The 15948-nt window shown below is 43.0% G+C and overlaps 2 protein-coding genes across 10 annotated transcripts in view; both read left to right on the top strand.

Moving 5' to 3' along the window:
• GCOM1 (GCOM1, MYZAP-POLR2M combined locus) overlaps positions 1 to 15948 on the top strand; it is a 125654-nt gene that overhangs the window by 38205 nt on the left and 71501 nt on the right. For all 8 annotated transcript variants that reach the window (NR_104367.2, NR_104368.2, NR_104369.2 and 5 more), the window contains exons 7-10: positions 2326 to 2451; positions 3505 to 3633; positions 7587 to 7666; positions 9332 to 9437. Coding sequence is in view for 3 of the 8 variants with exons in the window: in NM_001285900.3 (NP_001272829.1) it covers positions 2326 to 2451; positions 3505 to 3633; positions 7587 to 7666; positions 9332 to 9437 (441 nt within the window). In the remaining 5 variants the exon portion in view is untranslated. The remainder of the gene's footprint in view (positions 1 to 2325; positions 2452 to 3504; positions 3634 to 7586; positions 7667 to 9331; positions 9438 to 15948) is intronic.
• MYZAP (myocardial zonula adherens protein) overlaps positions 1 to 15948 on the top strand; it is a 93461-nt gene that overhangs the window by 38205 nt on the left and 39308 nt on the right. For both annotated transcript variants that reach the window (NM_001018100.5, NM_152451.8), the window contains exons 7-10: positions 2326 to 2451; positions 3505 to 3633; positions 7587 to 7666; positions 9332 to 9437. In NM_001018100.5, coding sequence (NP_001018110.1) covers positions 2326 to 2451; positions 3505 to 3633; positions 7587 to 7666; positions 9332 to 9437 — 441 coding nt within the window. The remainder of the gene's footprint in view (positions 1 to 2325; positions 2452 to 3504; positions 3634 to 7586; positions 7667 to 9331; positions 9438 to 15948) is intronic.

Raw genomic sequence — 15948 nt, forward strand, 5'->3', positions numbered from 1 at the left:
CAGGCACGTGCCACCTTGCCCAGTAATTTTTGTATTTTTAGTAGAGAAGGGGTTTCACCATGTTGGCCAGGCTGGTCTCGAACTCCTGACCTCAGGTGATCCGCCTGCCTTGGCCTCCCAAAGTGCTGGGATGACAGGCGTGAGCCACCGTGCTTGGCCCAGTTTGGGGCTTCTCCATAAATGCCCCCATTGGGCATGCCTTTCTTGGCCTCCAGTCCCTTCAAGGGCTCTTTAGACACTCACCATGGTGCTGTTGTTATGTAACTGAGAAGACGCTTGGGATGCCCACAGATCTGGGACGTCAGAAGCCTTGGAGATCTCTTCCTTCACTGTTTAGATTTTCTTTGAGGTCCCAAGGCCTTTCTGTTTGGCTTGACAATAAAGAGCTGAGGGGCACACAAATAGCTGGTACTTGGGCTGTACCCCAAGTACAATATTCTCAAGAAGAAAATTGGTGGGTGACTAGGGACACTGGGGAATGTCCCATTTGGCCCCCTAGGCTGGGAGCATTCCTTAGCTGAACTTCTAATGCCCTAGAGGCATTAGTGCCCCTCCCAAATTTAAACTGTGGATAGACTTCCTACCCGGTGACAGGAGCAGATCCATGAATGGCTCCTGGAGGGCACTTAATAAATTATATCTTGGATGAATTCCTTTTTATGTAAGTCTGTGGTTTGAAAATTTTGCTCAGCACAGACTTAGGCTATCTTATGAGTAGCGTATCCACATAGTTTATTGCTCAAAGCAGAATATGTGAGGGAGTGAAAGGTGGTACTATTGGTAATTTAGTTAGGGAGACAAACTGGGAAGTGTGGGCCCCTTCACAGGGGTAGGCTGGGTGGGGAAGAGGGGCTGCCGGTCCACCGCCCGGTCTCTGTATTGCCGCCCTGGGGATCTGCTGCCAGTTCACTTGGCCTGCCACAGCCATGGGACAGATCATCTCCTCTGTATGTTCACTTCTAATAGGGCAGCTCTTCTTTTCCGTGTAAGAGTTACTTTCTCAGTAAGAGTTACTTGGGGGGTGAAAAAAGTTTATGTTGCTAAAAAAGCCTGAAATTACTGATTTAAGTAATTTTTTTCAGCTTAGGGGATTTATTCAATCATTCAGTCCACAAATATTTATTGAGTGTCTACTCTATGTGTGTGTCCTGTTCAGTCCTGTTGGTTCCAGAGGTGGCCTGTCACCAGGCATCTGGGGACATCATTAGGCTGCTTGGCAATCTGGCTGCTTCCCTGGAGTCCAGGCCTTTAACTCCAGCCCACAGTTGCCTGTTTTAGAGACTGATGCTTGTTTTCATCCTGACAGTGGAGTTAAAAAGGTTTCTCCTACTCCTCCTATTTTACTCCCCAAATTGGGAAAAAAAAAAAAAGCTTCAGGAACTCAGGGTATGTTACATGACCTGGATGCAGAGTGAATGGGCCTCCAGGGACAGAGCCCTTCCAGCAAGCTGTGCGTGCACTGCAAATGGAGCACACAGCACACAGGGTCTCTCTCAGCTGGTCATAAGCTCTGCTCAGGACTTTCCACTTTGGAACTTCTTGGTGCCAACACTTACCCAGTGATGAGAAGGGAGAAGTCAAGGGCGTCAAGAGAGACTTGTCACATCTTGGAAATAACATCATGTAACCTATTGAGTTTGAAGAATGCTTCCCTTTTCCAGAGTTTAGGTATGCAGCAAACTCAGCTCTCTGCAATAGGCGATAACCTGGAAGGAGGGGATGAGAGCAAACCTTCTGCAGCATAAAATCAATGGCGGGAAGTCTGTGTGTGAGAACGTGGCCTGGCAAACAGGAGGCACCAGCCACCACCAACCTAAGCCCTGCCCACCTGCAACTCCACTGACTTTTTCTCACCTCCTAAGCCAGGCCTGCTTCAGTACTAGGGGTGCCAGCTTAGTGTTCCCCATGCTAGGTTGGAATGTTTCCAAAAGCAACATTTAGGAAAGCACAAGGGTATGGAAAGGGTGAGTCCAGATTTCTCCTTTGAGCTTAGCTGGTCTTACCTAGAAACTGGCTTGGCCAATGCAACTGATGAGATTGCGTAGAGAAATAAGTTTCTACCTTTTGAAAAAGTCACTCATGTGGAGCATACCTTTGTCCTGAGAATGCCCCCAAAATTCGTGTGAAATGCCACTTTTATTTTTCTGTGGCTCTGCTCACCCCTCTTCCTCCCTTTCCCTGTTAGGTCTTGCTGTGTCTCTCTGCTGCAGAACCCAGTGGATGGGCTCACTACCTCTGTGAGTCCCCACATGAAATGTGCAGTGGAAGCTGCCAATTCCTCTGGGCCCTGCAAAAGCTGTCGTTCTGAAATGAGTCTCGTTGTAGGTGGAATCGTCCCAAGAAGCCAATGCTGAGGTGATGCGAGAGATGACCAAGAAGCTGTACAGCCAGTATGAGGAGAAGCTGCAGGAAGAACAGAGGAAGCACAGTGCTGAGAAGGAGGCTCTTTTGGTGTGTGTGTTGTAGCTGCCGATGTAAACTTACCGGGAATTGTTGGTTCATTATTGTTGGTGATGTATACGTAGTAGTGTTTATTCTTAGAGGTGGGTCAGTAGACTCAGCCATGGGTAAGGGATCAAGGAATTATTCATCTGCTCATTCACTCCCCTCCCCTCTTCCCCTCTGCCTTTATTCATCCCCGTCTCTACTCAGAATAGCCCCTTGTCTCTGTCTCTAAATACACACCTTTTTCTAGCTCATCTGACAATTTGCCAGCATCTAAGCAAACCCTGGGCTTGCCCGCAGCTGTGCCCTCCCTCCCTCCATTTGGTTCTCTCTACCTGAAATTTCCTCCTTCCCTATCTTTGATCTTGCCTAAGCTCCCTAAAAGCCTTAAATGCCACTCTCTCCATGCCTGGAGTCTCTTCCAGTCATGGAGCCAGAACCATTATCTGTCCTTAGGAAGCTCACTCACTCTCTCTCTGCTTTTACTTTGGAATTCTTTTATACCTGCCATTAGAGTGGGGCTGTGCGTCTCACATCTTGGCTTTTCCAGGAGATTATAAGTTCCTGAAGGCGGGGACTCCATGTCTGGCTCATCTGTGTCCGTAGAGGCTTAATACATGTTCTGATGATTGACTGGGTTTTCTTGTTAGTAATGAGCTGATGTATTGCATTATGGGAGAAGGATCTGGGAATTCTGCATTCAATTCCAGATCTGGTTCTAATTCCCTTACACTTCTGGCAAATACAGTGACATTCTGAGCATCTACTCAATGTTATTAAACATTTGTAGGCCTCTTTTACACCTTTTGGATATAAAGACTTAAGGGAAAAAAGGGAAAAAAATGTAGTGAGGCCCATTAACCAGCCACATGATGTATCTTTATTCATAGGTGAGAACCAGAACCGTGAGGTTGAGTTCATGATCTGTGAGACACTTTCAGGTTCCAAGGTCATGTTTTAAAGAGAAATCGTGATCTAGCAAGGCCTGAGCTGATTGGATCCCGGTGAGTAGCCTCGGTACTCCATGCCTGTACTTAGGAGGGTATATTTCTTTTGCAGGAAGAAACCAATAGTTTTCTGAAAGCGATTGAAGAAGCCAATAAAAAGATGCAAGCAGCAGAGATCAGCCTAGAGGAGAAAGACCAGAGGATCGGGGAGCTGGACAGGCTGATTGAGCGCATGGAAAAGGTAGGACACAGCGTTGGGCCTATTGCCCACTTGCCCAAACTTTTCCCTGTAGGTCCATCTGAGATACGAGAGGCCCTGGATATGGATTCCTCTCACCTCCAAAATTTGCAATTAAAAAAAAAAAGACAAAGCTATAAAATAAAGTATAAGGAAGTCCAACAACGTTCTCATTTTTCCCATGATAACTATTTTGATGCTTTTAAAAAATATTACTTGTGAAATTCTTTAGAAAAATTAATATTTTAGCAGCCTTGCTTTGCTGGTGCCCCAGGTGTGAACTTAGTTTATCCATTGAATTATCAAGCCCTATTTAGGTGTTACATCAACACAGCAGCCCTGTTGTTTCTGGGGCATGTGTCTCAAGGGTTGGCTTTTCCTTGACACGCTGGGGACTTGAGAGAGTAGGGAGGCCCCATTTCTCTAGGTGTTGTAAGCAGGCTGGTGAGTGTGGTGGGGGAACCTGAGGAAGGCGGGAGCTCAGCTGGGATAATGAAGCCTGTCTAGTGAAAGGGAAGAGGCCAGGAATTAAGTAGGAAGTGGAGGAAGGGGAGGAAGTGGTGGGAGAAAGGAAAGAGGAAAAGAAGGAAGAGAAGGAAGAGAAAGGATGGGTGACCTTTAGCAGGTGACGGCTGACTTCTGGACCCAGGAGTTCAGGGCCAAGTCTGTGGCTGGTTTCTGGGAATGGCTCCCTGGCTGCATATGAGTTTGCAGAGAGCAGTGACCTGCCAAGACCCTGACATTATTAGCACCCTGTGACTCATTCGGGATGCCAAGAATCTCCAATCTGATGATGGAGGCAGAGGTGGGGCAGCAAGAGCAAGGTCACTGTCAGGCTTCATGTGATGCTGAGAAGAGGTCGCCTTAGCTAATGGTGTTTGCAGCATAAGCCCCTGTACTGTCCCCTCATAAGGCGAGGTGTCGCCACTATGGGAACTGCATGAAATTCAGTTCTGTGGAGCTTCAGAGCTCACTGGGTGCTTCGTTTTAGCTCTTTAGCTTTTTACTTGGGAGAGACTTGGGCAAACTAAAGAGTCAATTACAATCTCCCTTCTACCCCCTGGGAAAACAGAATCCCATCTTTTATTGAAGAGTAGGTGATTGGCTTAGTCAGGACTAACATTAGTATTGACCAGAGGGGGTGGTGGTGAAGATTGGGCAACAAGGGAGCTTTCTAGAGCTTGAGTGAGCTTCCTCCCACATTATTGTCCTCCTACAACAGCAGAAGATCCCAGTTAACTCAGATGCTCTCTCTCTGGGCAGCAGGTTTTTCTGCAGCGTAAAGAAGCAAGGTGAGCCGGCAGCATAGCAGGGTGGTCTGGGGGAGATGCCGTCATACAGAGAAACCACAGGTAGTGGTCATGAACATAGGCTTTAGAATCAGACAGTCTGGGGATTTGAATCTTGTGTCTCTTTGTAGTTGTTTGCACTTACTTGGTTTTTCCTAACTCAGTCTCCACTTCTGTAAAATGCTGATAATGGTACTTCTTATTCTTAGGGCTTTTGTGAGCAATAAATGAGAAAAATCCACGCCAAGTGCTAAGCATGGTTCCTCGTATATAGTAAGGGTTCGATCATTTGTGGCTATGATTTTTACTCTGTTACGAGGTTGCCTAAATGTCTACCCTCAGAGTCAGGTTGTCTTTAGCACGACCCATTTTATGCTTATCTTCATTGCTGTCTTGAGGTTCTGAAAGTTTCTTGTCTTTCCCCACTGATTTTCACATGGAGCCCTCATGTGGGATGAATGGGTAGAGCCAGGAAGCTGGTAAGGCCAGCCCTCCCTGCCAGCATTTAGGAAACACAAAACCTTCCCCAAGTGGTGTTGGCTTCTTCTTTAGTGATTGGAAATGTATTGTCCTTTCTCTAAATCTTCCTTTCCATTTAGGCTAGAGAAATGCTCTATTTATTGAACTAACATTAGGTAGGCCAATTTACACTGTTTCCTTTTCAGGGATAAATCTGTGAGAGCAGGAATCTGGCCAAATCGCTGTCTCACACTACGTGAACGGCATGTCCTAGGCAGGGCTGTGGCAGTGTACGTATCCTGCTCTCAGTTTTGGATTTTGCTCAAGGACAAACCATGTGCTTTTGAATGGCTTCTCTGCCATATGCCTTAGTTTACTGTTTCTCTTGCTGAGCACTGTATTTCAAACACCTTTTTTTCTGATCAGTAAAAATCTTTTAAGGAGTGTTCTCTACCAGGGACCCTTCTGGGGAACAGATAATAGTCTATGCCATAATCTGGGCAGTGGTTTCACAGGTGTTTACAAATGTAAGAAATAATTGTGCAGTGTACACTTAAGATTTATTGTACCTCAATTTAAAACAAATTTTAAAAGTGTGCTGTAAGTTAGACCTTGCTCTACTTTATGACAGCCTTTTTCTTTCTTGTTTTTTGTTTTTTTTTTCTTTTTGGAGGGAGGCATTCACTTGTGAAAGCTTTTATCACTGTTATTTCGGGGCTAATGTAAAACTTCCAACCACATAGGGGCAGGAGGAATGTTCTGCTCAGGCCAGGCCATAAGAATGTGCATTTGCTGTAGAGATTTAAAAACAGTAACAAAACCCCAGTCAAAGTTGATCTACCTTTGTTATTTTAAATATTTCAGAGATAATATATTCTTCCTGCTTAAGGTGGACTGCTTCCCCACCCCTTTGGCCTACCTCTTGGTATACCACTGCTTATAGCTTCAGAAGTTGTGGCAGTTAAATTTTCAAAGATTTGCTTTTAATAATTTGGTAGAAAAGAGGTTTGGAATCTATGTAGCTAGTAAGAGTTTGCTGGGTGGAATTTCCGAACATAAAGATGAGGAACATTAGTTCTTAGAGAAGGACCTAAAGTAAAATAATCTCCCAATTAGTGAGCGTTATTTGATAAACTTGCATTTTAAGGAAATTTGTTACACTAACATCTGTAATGTATTTTTAGCACAATTTCGGTTATGACAGGCACCATGTTTTTATGAACATTTTTCAGCTTTGTCCAAAGAAATGATTCCAGACTCTTTTTTGGGCAAACTTCTAAATATACATATATATAGCAAAGTGTACAAAGTGCACGGCTTAGTGCGCGTATGTTTCCTATTGCTACCATAGCAAATTTCCACAAGGTTAGTGGCTTAAAACAACACAAATGTATTATGTTCCATTCCTAGAGGTCAGAAGTGCTAAAATCCAGGTGTTGGCAGAGCTGGATTCCTTTTGGAAGCTCTAGAAGGGAATGCATTTCCCTGCCTTCTCTAACTTCTGGAGGCCACCTGTACTCCTCAACTTGTGGCCCCCTCCTGCAGCTTCAGAGGCAGTAGCAGAGCATCTTCCAGGCTCCTTCTCTCTGATTCTAACCCTGCTGCCTCCTCCTCCTTAGAAGGGCCCAACTGGATAACCCAGGATCTCCCCATTTTAAGATCTTTAACTTAATCACATCTGCAGAATTCCTTTCTCCATGTAAGATAACACATAGGATTCAGGAATCAGGACATGGACATCTTTGGAGGGCCATGAATCTGACCACAACATATTTTTACAAGTGAATACACCTGTGTAAACACCACAAGTTAGAATATAGGATATTGCCAGAATCCCAGAGCCTCTTTTCTTGATGATTCAGAAAATAATAAAGAATTTTGCAGTATCACAAGCCACCAGTTTAAAGTATTGATAATCAGTATTTGGGGCTATAAATTTTCACTGATCCTGGGCTGATGGAATACTTTGGAAAATGAATCTTGAATGGTTTTATTTAGGATGTTTTGTCTCTGACCCATAAATATATCTATAAATACACAACAACAGACTTGGCAGTTTTGAGCCTTGTTTGGGCTTTGCTGAGCAGGTGTGTAAAACCCAGGGGGTGTCATATAGACTTGGACTCCCTAGTGCTAGAATTGCTAAATAGACATTCTCTGTCAAACTTGGGATCCATTGATTAAAATATCAGTTTCTGTTTGTTTTAGGAACGTCATCAACTGCAACTTCAACTCCTAGAACATGAAACAGAAATGTCTGGGGAGTTAACTGATTCTGACAAGGAAAGGTAAGACGTAATGCCTTTCGTCTTGTAATGGATTTAGGTTGTGGACACGCTGTGTTTTTATGACCTCATTTGACCCTTACATTTTCATTTGTGTGGTTGTACCTTATTACAGACTTAAGCATACATAACATTGGGCTGAGAGTTTCCAATATGGAACAAGTTTCTTTGGAAGCCTCCAGCCACATCCTGCAGATCATGGCTGGTTGTTAGTGTAGTGGAACACATCAAATACTTTCACAAGTGCAAAAGTTTGGTCTATTAATGTTCTCCATGGCCTTGAACTCCACAGGATACACCTTGTTGATGAGAAAACTCATCAGCTGTGACTAATACCACTTGCTTTGGAAACCAATTTAAAACATCTTTCTTTGTTTCCAAACTTTGCTTAGTAAAACCTTGCATTATCCTCTGGCAGTGAGTATATAAAGCCCTACATGAAAAACACGGAATAGTACGCTGTCTGTTCTAGAAATCAAAATGCAGAGAGGCCATTCAGGGGTCTCTAGTGAAGGAAAACAAGGTTGAGATGATTTGAGTGTTTTGGGCAAGTGACTTAACCTCCCTGAGTCTTGCTTGTGCCACATGGAAATTCATCTTTAAACGGGGGAGACGGGTATGACGGTGATAACAGTGCCCATCTCACTAGGTTACTGTTGTTAAGAGAACTATTGGGCTTGCTGCCTGCCAAATAGTACGTGCTGAAAAAATACCCATTTTTCCTTCCTCATTTGCAATTTCAGAGTTTTCAAAGTTACAGGAGGCTTGCTAGTCATTAACATAGTGCTGAGGCAGAGATGGGGCACGGGAACTAGACCACCAGACCTTTCCTCCAGTGCCCAGCCCCAGCGGCCCCAGAGAACTGAAGAGTCCAAGCAATGTTGGAGAATAAATTGTGCTGTTGTAAAACAAAAGTATGAAATGTTTTGTGATGTGGCTTGCTCTGTTTGGATGTAGAGAAGGTCTTTCAACTTGTCCCACATTTGCCAAAAATAAAGGATATGTAGAGCAACTGTGATTCCAGACCTTTTGGTATTCTGCCGTTGATTTCAGATATTTTATTGTGTTGCTGGACCCCTTCTTCCCCGTCCTCCCCTCCAAGTAATTTACTGGATGTTCCAATATGTTAATAACCCCAAAACAGAGAGCTTCTCAGATCTGTAAATGGTGCAAAAAAATTATCTCTCAGCCCCTGGAAAATAATCATCCTTATATGGGATAAAACTTGCAAATGGGAACTTGAAAAATAGTCCTGTGCTCCTCTGTTGTGGTAGTTTGTTAGTAATCACACTACTTTGTGTGGTCATCACATAAAGTAAGAAGAATGGATCTTAGAGTTTGATTTCTTGTTCTTGGAAGCATTTTTAAATGTTTTTAAATTTACGTTTATTTTTTTACCAAACCTTCCCCAAAAGATACATGTTTTCTATTTTTATTTATTTATTTTTTTTTTTTGTGGAGATGAGGGTCTCAGCATATTGCCCAGGCTGGTCTCAAACTCCTGGCCTCAAGCAGTCCTCCTGCCTTGGCCTCTTGAAGTGTTGGGATTACAGGCATGAGCCGCCATGCTTGGCGCTCTTGGCAATATTCTTTAAAGCTGTGACTGTTGCTACTGCTGTTGCTGCTTTGGTTTAGGACTCATTTGCTTTTTTCTCCTATTTGTGTTAGGTATCAGCAGTTGGAGGAGGCATCAGCCAGCCTCCGTGAGCGGATCAGACACCTAGATGACATGGTGCATTGCCAGCAGAAGAAAGTCAAGCAGATGGTCGAGGAGGTAAGCATCTGCAAAAGGTCACAGGCCTGGGATTGCTTCCTGTGGTGGGGAAGCATCCCCAGAACAAGTCTGCCTTGCCCCTCCATTTCCTGTGGCTCACAAGCCGAGGTGCTCAGGCCACTGCCATCTAGGCCCAGAGTGGGATTTCCCCACATGTCCCCCATGGACTGATGACGATGATGCCCCTAAAAGAGGGGTTTCCTCAGGTCAAAGGGTTACAGTTAAGAAAGCTGGAAAGTGCAGTTCATAAGCTCACCCACTGTGAAAGGACAGTGATAGCCTGAGTGGGTACCCACAGCTCAGGGGACCCAAGGGGGTGATGGGCAGGGTGAATTTAGCCCAGGTCCCTGCACTGCCTCCACAGCCGTCTGTCTGTCTCTCTCTCTCTCTCTCAGCTACCATTCTTGTCCTTTATCGTTTTCTGGGTGTGTCTTTCATTCCCTTTCCTTGTCTGTTTCTCTCTTTTTTCTCCCTCCTTCCTCGTTCTCTTCTCCCACTCCTGCTTCTTCTTCCTTTTCCTTTGCCACCATCCTTTCTCTCCTAACTGTCTCTGTAACAGGAAACCAAGCTATACATTTACTGTTTGGGCATAGTTTACTATTCTCTTTTTTCTAAATGAGAAAACGGGTAAGTTGAACATTTCTATTTCTCTAAGAGGAACAAAATTTGTTTTAACTTGTGTCAATATAATCCGCCTCTCTTGTGGTGATGTTCCAAAGAAGAAAGTCCGTGCTCTGTAAAGCTAATCACATATTATTGTAGTTTTCTTCTTGCTCAATTAAAAAATCCGATTGAAAAATCTGATAGAAAAAGAGCAGTTAGTACTAACAGGGTTATAAGAATTCCCTTGAGTCTAATTCTCTAACCTGCAAAGAAAAAAAAAGGTTTCAATTTAATCAAACATTTGGTTGGCAGTGGAAAAATGAAAACACATTTTCCTTATATTAAGTACTACTTTAAAAAGTTATGTTTTATTAATGAATTATTAAAATTAAAAGCATATCTACTTCTAAGAAATAATTCATGTACATGACAGACAAATGGAAGATTAAAATATATCTATTTTATTAATCTCTAAGATATTGGGGATATTAATGTTGGGGAGTTAAGGTCAGAGAATTGTGAGTATGGGAAGGGACATCTTTTTTTATTGTGTGTAGGATAAACATACACATTAGATAAAAGTTTGTCCGCAAATGAGAAGTGCAGTTATACTGTGTTGAATCATGTACATCTTATATTGGTTCACACACAAGTTTCTGGGGAGCAGTGGAATAGCAGAGGAGGCCACGCACGCATCTTTGCAATCGTTTTGTGCATCCAGGCAGGAGCACTGCCCATAACAGTAATGCGGAGGGAGATCCTGCCCTATCGTCAACACTAGGTAGATGTCAGGAGTGTATTTTCCAAGGAAAAGCATCACTTTGCCACAGTTAGCATCTCAGTGAGCCTTGGCCGTCGGGGCATAGTTTTTCTGCTTTTGAATTTCACACGCACGAAGTCTGGGGCAAGGGCATCCCTTATTTTCCCCTATGCGAGTCTCTAACTGTGAGCACTACATTTCTCCCACCTCACCACAGGGGGGTGTCTGTGTCATTCTTGTATCTAATCGTTAGAGAACTATTGAACAAAACCTCATACTGGTTGGCTTCTGATTCACTTAAACCCTTACCTGTAAGAGGTTAAGGCTGTACCAGAATCAGAGACATTGTTTTTTTAAAAGACATTTTCAAAGAAGTTTAGAATTCTCTGTTTCCTAACTTACTTCCAGAATATAACAAACCTACCAATTTGAAGAGAGTGAAGGAGTACACATACGTACACACATATACATATGTGCATATGTATATGTGTATTTATACATGTGTATACATATGTATATGTGTGTGTGTAGGGATGCATATAAAGATCACTGTCCATGCTTTGCTTTTTTCTACCTGTGATTTCATATCTTCCAGATAAGCTTCTCTAAGCTTTGATGTGGTCTGTGGTCTGGAAGGCCCAGTCGTTGGAAAGAAATCACCAGCTAAAATTTAGGATGCCATCAGAGTTAGCACCCCCTAGGGGCTGGCTGGGTTTCCACAGTGAATGTAGACCACCACCACCACCAGCAACAAAAAGAGAGAGAGACACTTTTTATTCCTAATAATTTTTACTGCCTGATTTAGAAAGTTTGTGTTTGCCCAGCATACTACATTAACTTACATAAGAAAAAAAGGATAGCCTAGAATCTCATTTGCTATAGCCATTTATGTGAATATTTTTTTTAAAAGTTAGAAACATGGTCAAGGGGCATGGACAGGTGAGCACCTTCAGAAGAGCAAGACCAGGTTGGAAAGGAGTTGAGAACCTGAGTAATTCAGGGAACTGGGGAAGACATGCCCAAGGAGAGATGGGAGCTGAATTCACATCTTAGAAAACATGAGGGAATATGTCTTTGTTTTGTATTGTGAAGCAAGGCCAGGCCAGAACCACTGGGTGACACTTTCAAAGAGGCAAATTGCAGCTCTTCATTCACAACAAAGAAAACATTTCTAATACTGGCTGCACTGGTAAGGCATTTAGCTCTTCATCATGGTTACGTTCTTTACAAAGTAAGAAGTTGATTTAGAAGTTCTCTAGTGTTCCTCCACAAATTCTGTGTTCTGTAACCTTAAAGACTGTGTGGAGGAAGTCTGGTAACTTCAGTTAAGTGTTCATCATATAAAGAATTCTCTATTGTTTACTATGCTGTGCCTGTTTTTGTGAGCTCAGCCTTATCATTATGTTGCATAATGAGCAAAATCAGCAAAGTCGTAACTAAATCACTTCAGATCACTTGGAGCAAATTTTGAAAAATCCGGAGTACTGAATTGGTCACTTGTGAAATGAATCTTGAACTCTGACTCTAGAAGAGAAGTATGTTTTCATCTGTGAACTCCGGCTCCCCAGGCATATAGGCAGCCTTTAAGTGTAGCGGATGTTAAGGACCCTTTTTCTTCCCTCACATGGGTCTGGAAGCTCGTCTTCATCATAGCCTCACTTTCACCATGGATGGAAGTCTCGTCTCCATCCATTGTTGGTATCATTTTGGCCATAATGTCCATGAGGAAACTTAGTTTTTTTAAATGATGGGCTTCTTTTGTTTAGCTCAAAATGTCCAGGTGTCACTACTGCGATCCTTGGGAATCCTTAAATGTTAAGCAACATGTTTCTTCTCACCTTAGTGGAGTATCATTTTATCATAGTAATAATAAATAATAAAAAGTAACTGGCCCAGGTTTTGTCATCCTTAGCTCATTAATGACTTGATTTCCATGGTGGGAGACAGTAGGACTTGTACTATGTAGGAAGGGCTCATGGTGGGGGTGAGCCCTTTTGAAATGAAGGATTAGTATATATCTTACGGTGTCAAGGTCATTGAGAAAAGATAATGCAAAACGTTTTCTGTGAAATGTGGAACCAAGTCCCTCTCACTAGGCTAGGGCTTTCTACTGAATTAAGTCTCCTGTCATGGATGTCAGGGGGTTGGGTATCTCCCCCATCACTAGTTCTTCCAGCTGATTCTGGCTTTGATAAAAATGAGAGAACAAAGCCAAAAAAGCCCCACGTGTGCCTCTTATAGCCGGAAAATATAGAAAAATGCCGAGGGATTGGAAAGAAAAAGCCCTCAAGGGGAAATTAATTCATTCATCCATTCAGCAGATACCCACCAGCACCCGCTCCGTGCTGGGGCTGGGTACACAGTGGGGAGTCAAGCAGACATGGGCCGTGCTGGCACGGATCTTACCCACTGGTGTCACCCGAGTTCCAGGGTAGTCTTGCCTTTGGGTTTTATTATCCTGTTGAAAAGCTTTGTTGGGATTGGTCTTTGGTCCTGAATCAAGCTGCATTCTTTAGATTGCCAGGAAAGGCACTGGGAGAGCTGGGAGGAGTGTAAAAAGTAAGAGAGCATCCTGAGGCCCCCACAGTGCCCCTCTGCTCACACATCTTTGAGTGTGACTTCTTCAGTCCACAGAGTCATTCACACCCTCTTTACCTGCTCTCACCATGGCTCTCCTGCTGCCAACCAAAGCAGCTCTCCTGCCAAGGGGAAAGTGATCTTAAGGAAAAAATCAACTATTTGCCTTCCAAGAGGGTGGGTTTACATTTTTGCCAATGGGCAGGGATATTGTTTAGCTGAATAAACAGTAATTTCTTAAGAGGTTTTTTTTTTGTTTTTTTTTTTTTTAAGCTATATCCCAGTGCAGCCATTAGGCATCCTTTCATTTTGTCATGTCTTTCTTTTGATTTCCCTTTGCCATTTGTGATATAGGAAATGTTTCTTCCAACAGGGTCTGAAGGGAGTTTCTTTTCATTTGCAGAGGAGGCATTTTCTTTAGACTTCTTTTGCTGAAAGCAATTACACTCTACCCCACTTTGCTATAATTGAGATGTTTAATAAGTGCAAAGGTGCAAGGAATTGATTTTCTCATTAGTGCTTCTCCACCCAAGCTACACATTGGAATCACCTGGGGAGCTTTAAGACATGCCTGAACCTGGCAGATGGGATGGAGGCAGACTGAGCATTGGGTTTTGTTTCGTTTTAAAAACTCTGCAAGTGATTCTAATATACAGCCAGGATTGAGAATCGCTGTCCCGGATTCTCAGAGCGGTGGCCTGACTCTCCTTGCTGGGTTTCATGTTCATGCATTTGGCCAGCATCCCTCAGAAGCTCCTATGCCTGAGGTGGGAAGCTGCTGGTGAACTCAATAGGAAGGGCTCAACAGAAAGCAAGCCAGGGAGACAGTCACCAGGGACCAGGAGCACAGAAGTGAGAAAGCTGGTCCAAGTCTGTGACTCTCTGGGCACTGTCAGGGGACCTTCACTTCTTGCCAGCCCCTGGTCCTGGGAGGATTCTGTGACAGCTCACTCTTTTTTTATTTTTTATTTTGTTTTAGAGACAAAGTCTTGCCCTGTTGCTCAGGCTGGAGTGCAGTGGTGCAATCATACCTTCCTGCAGCCTCCAACTCCTGGGCTCAAGTGATCCTCCCCACTCAACCTCCCAAGTAGATCGACTATAGGCACGTGCACCCATGCCCAGCTAATTTTTGTATTACTGTTATTATTATTATTATTTTTTATAGAGACAGGGTTTCACTATGTTGTTCAGCTGGTCTTCCAACTCCTGGCCTCTAGCAATCTTCCCATCTTGGCCTCTCAGAGTGTTGGGATTACAGGCGTGAGCCACTACACCTGGCCTGACAGCCTAATCTTAATAGCTGTACTGGCCTGGTGGTATCCAGATAATACAAACTTCCCAAAGGCTATTTAGACCCATCTAGAGAGATGTTACTAAGGTGGGAAGAGGTACGCTTGTTAAATAGATAATAGAAACTTAAAGGGACAGAATCCAATCCACCTAAGTCCTTGAAAGCTGGACTACCACTAAGAGAGACTAAGGGTGATTCTCATGGATCCTCTTCCAACTGTGCATGTATGCACGTGTCTGCCTCGCCCTGCTTTAAATTATTCACTTCTGTCTGTACAGAAGACGTTACACTTGGCCACATGGTACCCCTTTAGAAAGAGAAGGCAAAAACATCTTGGTTAAATAATTATATTAGCAATGACCACTTCTCAAATTCAAGGCAAAGCAGAATATTATTTGTGATTCCTAAGGAATGATTTTGAAAGTATTTAACGGTCATCTCTTAGATTTTTTTTAAAGAGTGATGCTGTAGTCATAATGCAGCAGTTCCTTGGGGGAAACAAACTGGATCAGGGAGAATAACAGATGAGTAAGAACTCTTCAGAGAGTTGAGACTTTGAGTATCTGGCTCTCTAGCCAGTTGGCCAAACAAGGCTTTACATTACTAGTCCCTAAATCCACATGCATCTGCAGTTAGAGACCTTTATGTGTCTACAACAAAAGATGGCCTAGAAAAATAGCAACAAGTATGGACTTTAGCATCAGACAAACCTGCCTTTGAAAAGTTATTAGTTTCCTTGTCTATAAAATAGGGTTAATAATAGTATCTACCCAATTTTTTGTAAGAGTTAAATGAGATGACATGTATAAAATGCACAGCATGTTAATTGGATCATAAGAAATAATAAATATTAGTGGCTGTTATTATTACCACCTGTAAATGGGTTCGGCTGTGTATACCTAAAGTTAAGTGAACTAAAAGCAAAAGTAGCTATTGTTGATTTCCTGAGCAATGCACGGGGCTGCCCTTTATCTTTCCCTTTGGGAGTCTTGTTGGCCACATTCAATCTTTGGGTATACTTCTCTCTTCTCTTTTGTGCTCTGTGCTGTTTTCTAGCTTAGCCATCAATCTCTTCACAAGAATATTTATACAAAAAGCGATTTTTAAGATTTAAATTTGCTTCATCGCAAGTATCTGCCATTTTTACATGGTTCAGTCATTTGCTGGCACACAATTTAATTCAAAACTGTTGTGTGGTGTGCTGAAATGTGCAACACACGAAAGTACATTTTACTAAATGCCCTGTGTTTAGAGGATTTCAAGTACTTCTCATAATTGGT

The sequence above is a fragment of the Homo sapiens genome, chromosome 15, assembly GCF_000001405.40.
Source record: "Homo sapiens chromosome 15, GRCh38.p14 Primary Assembly".
Taxonomy (NCBI): Eukaryota; Metazoa; Chordata; class Mammalia; order Primates; family Hominidae; genus Homo; species Homo sapiens.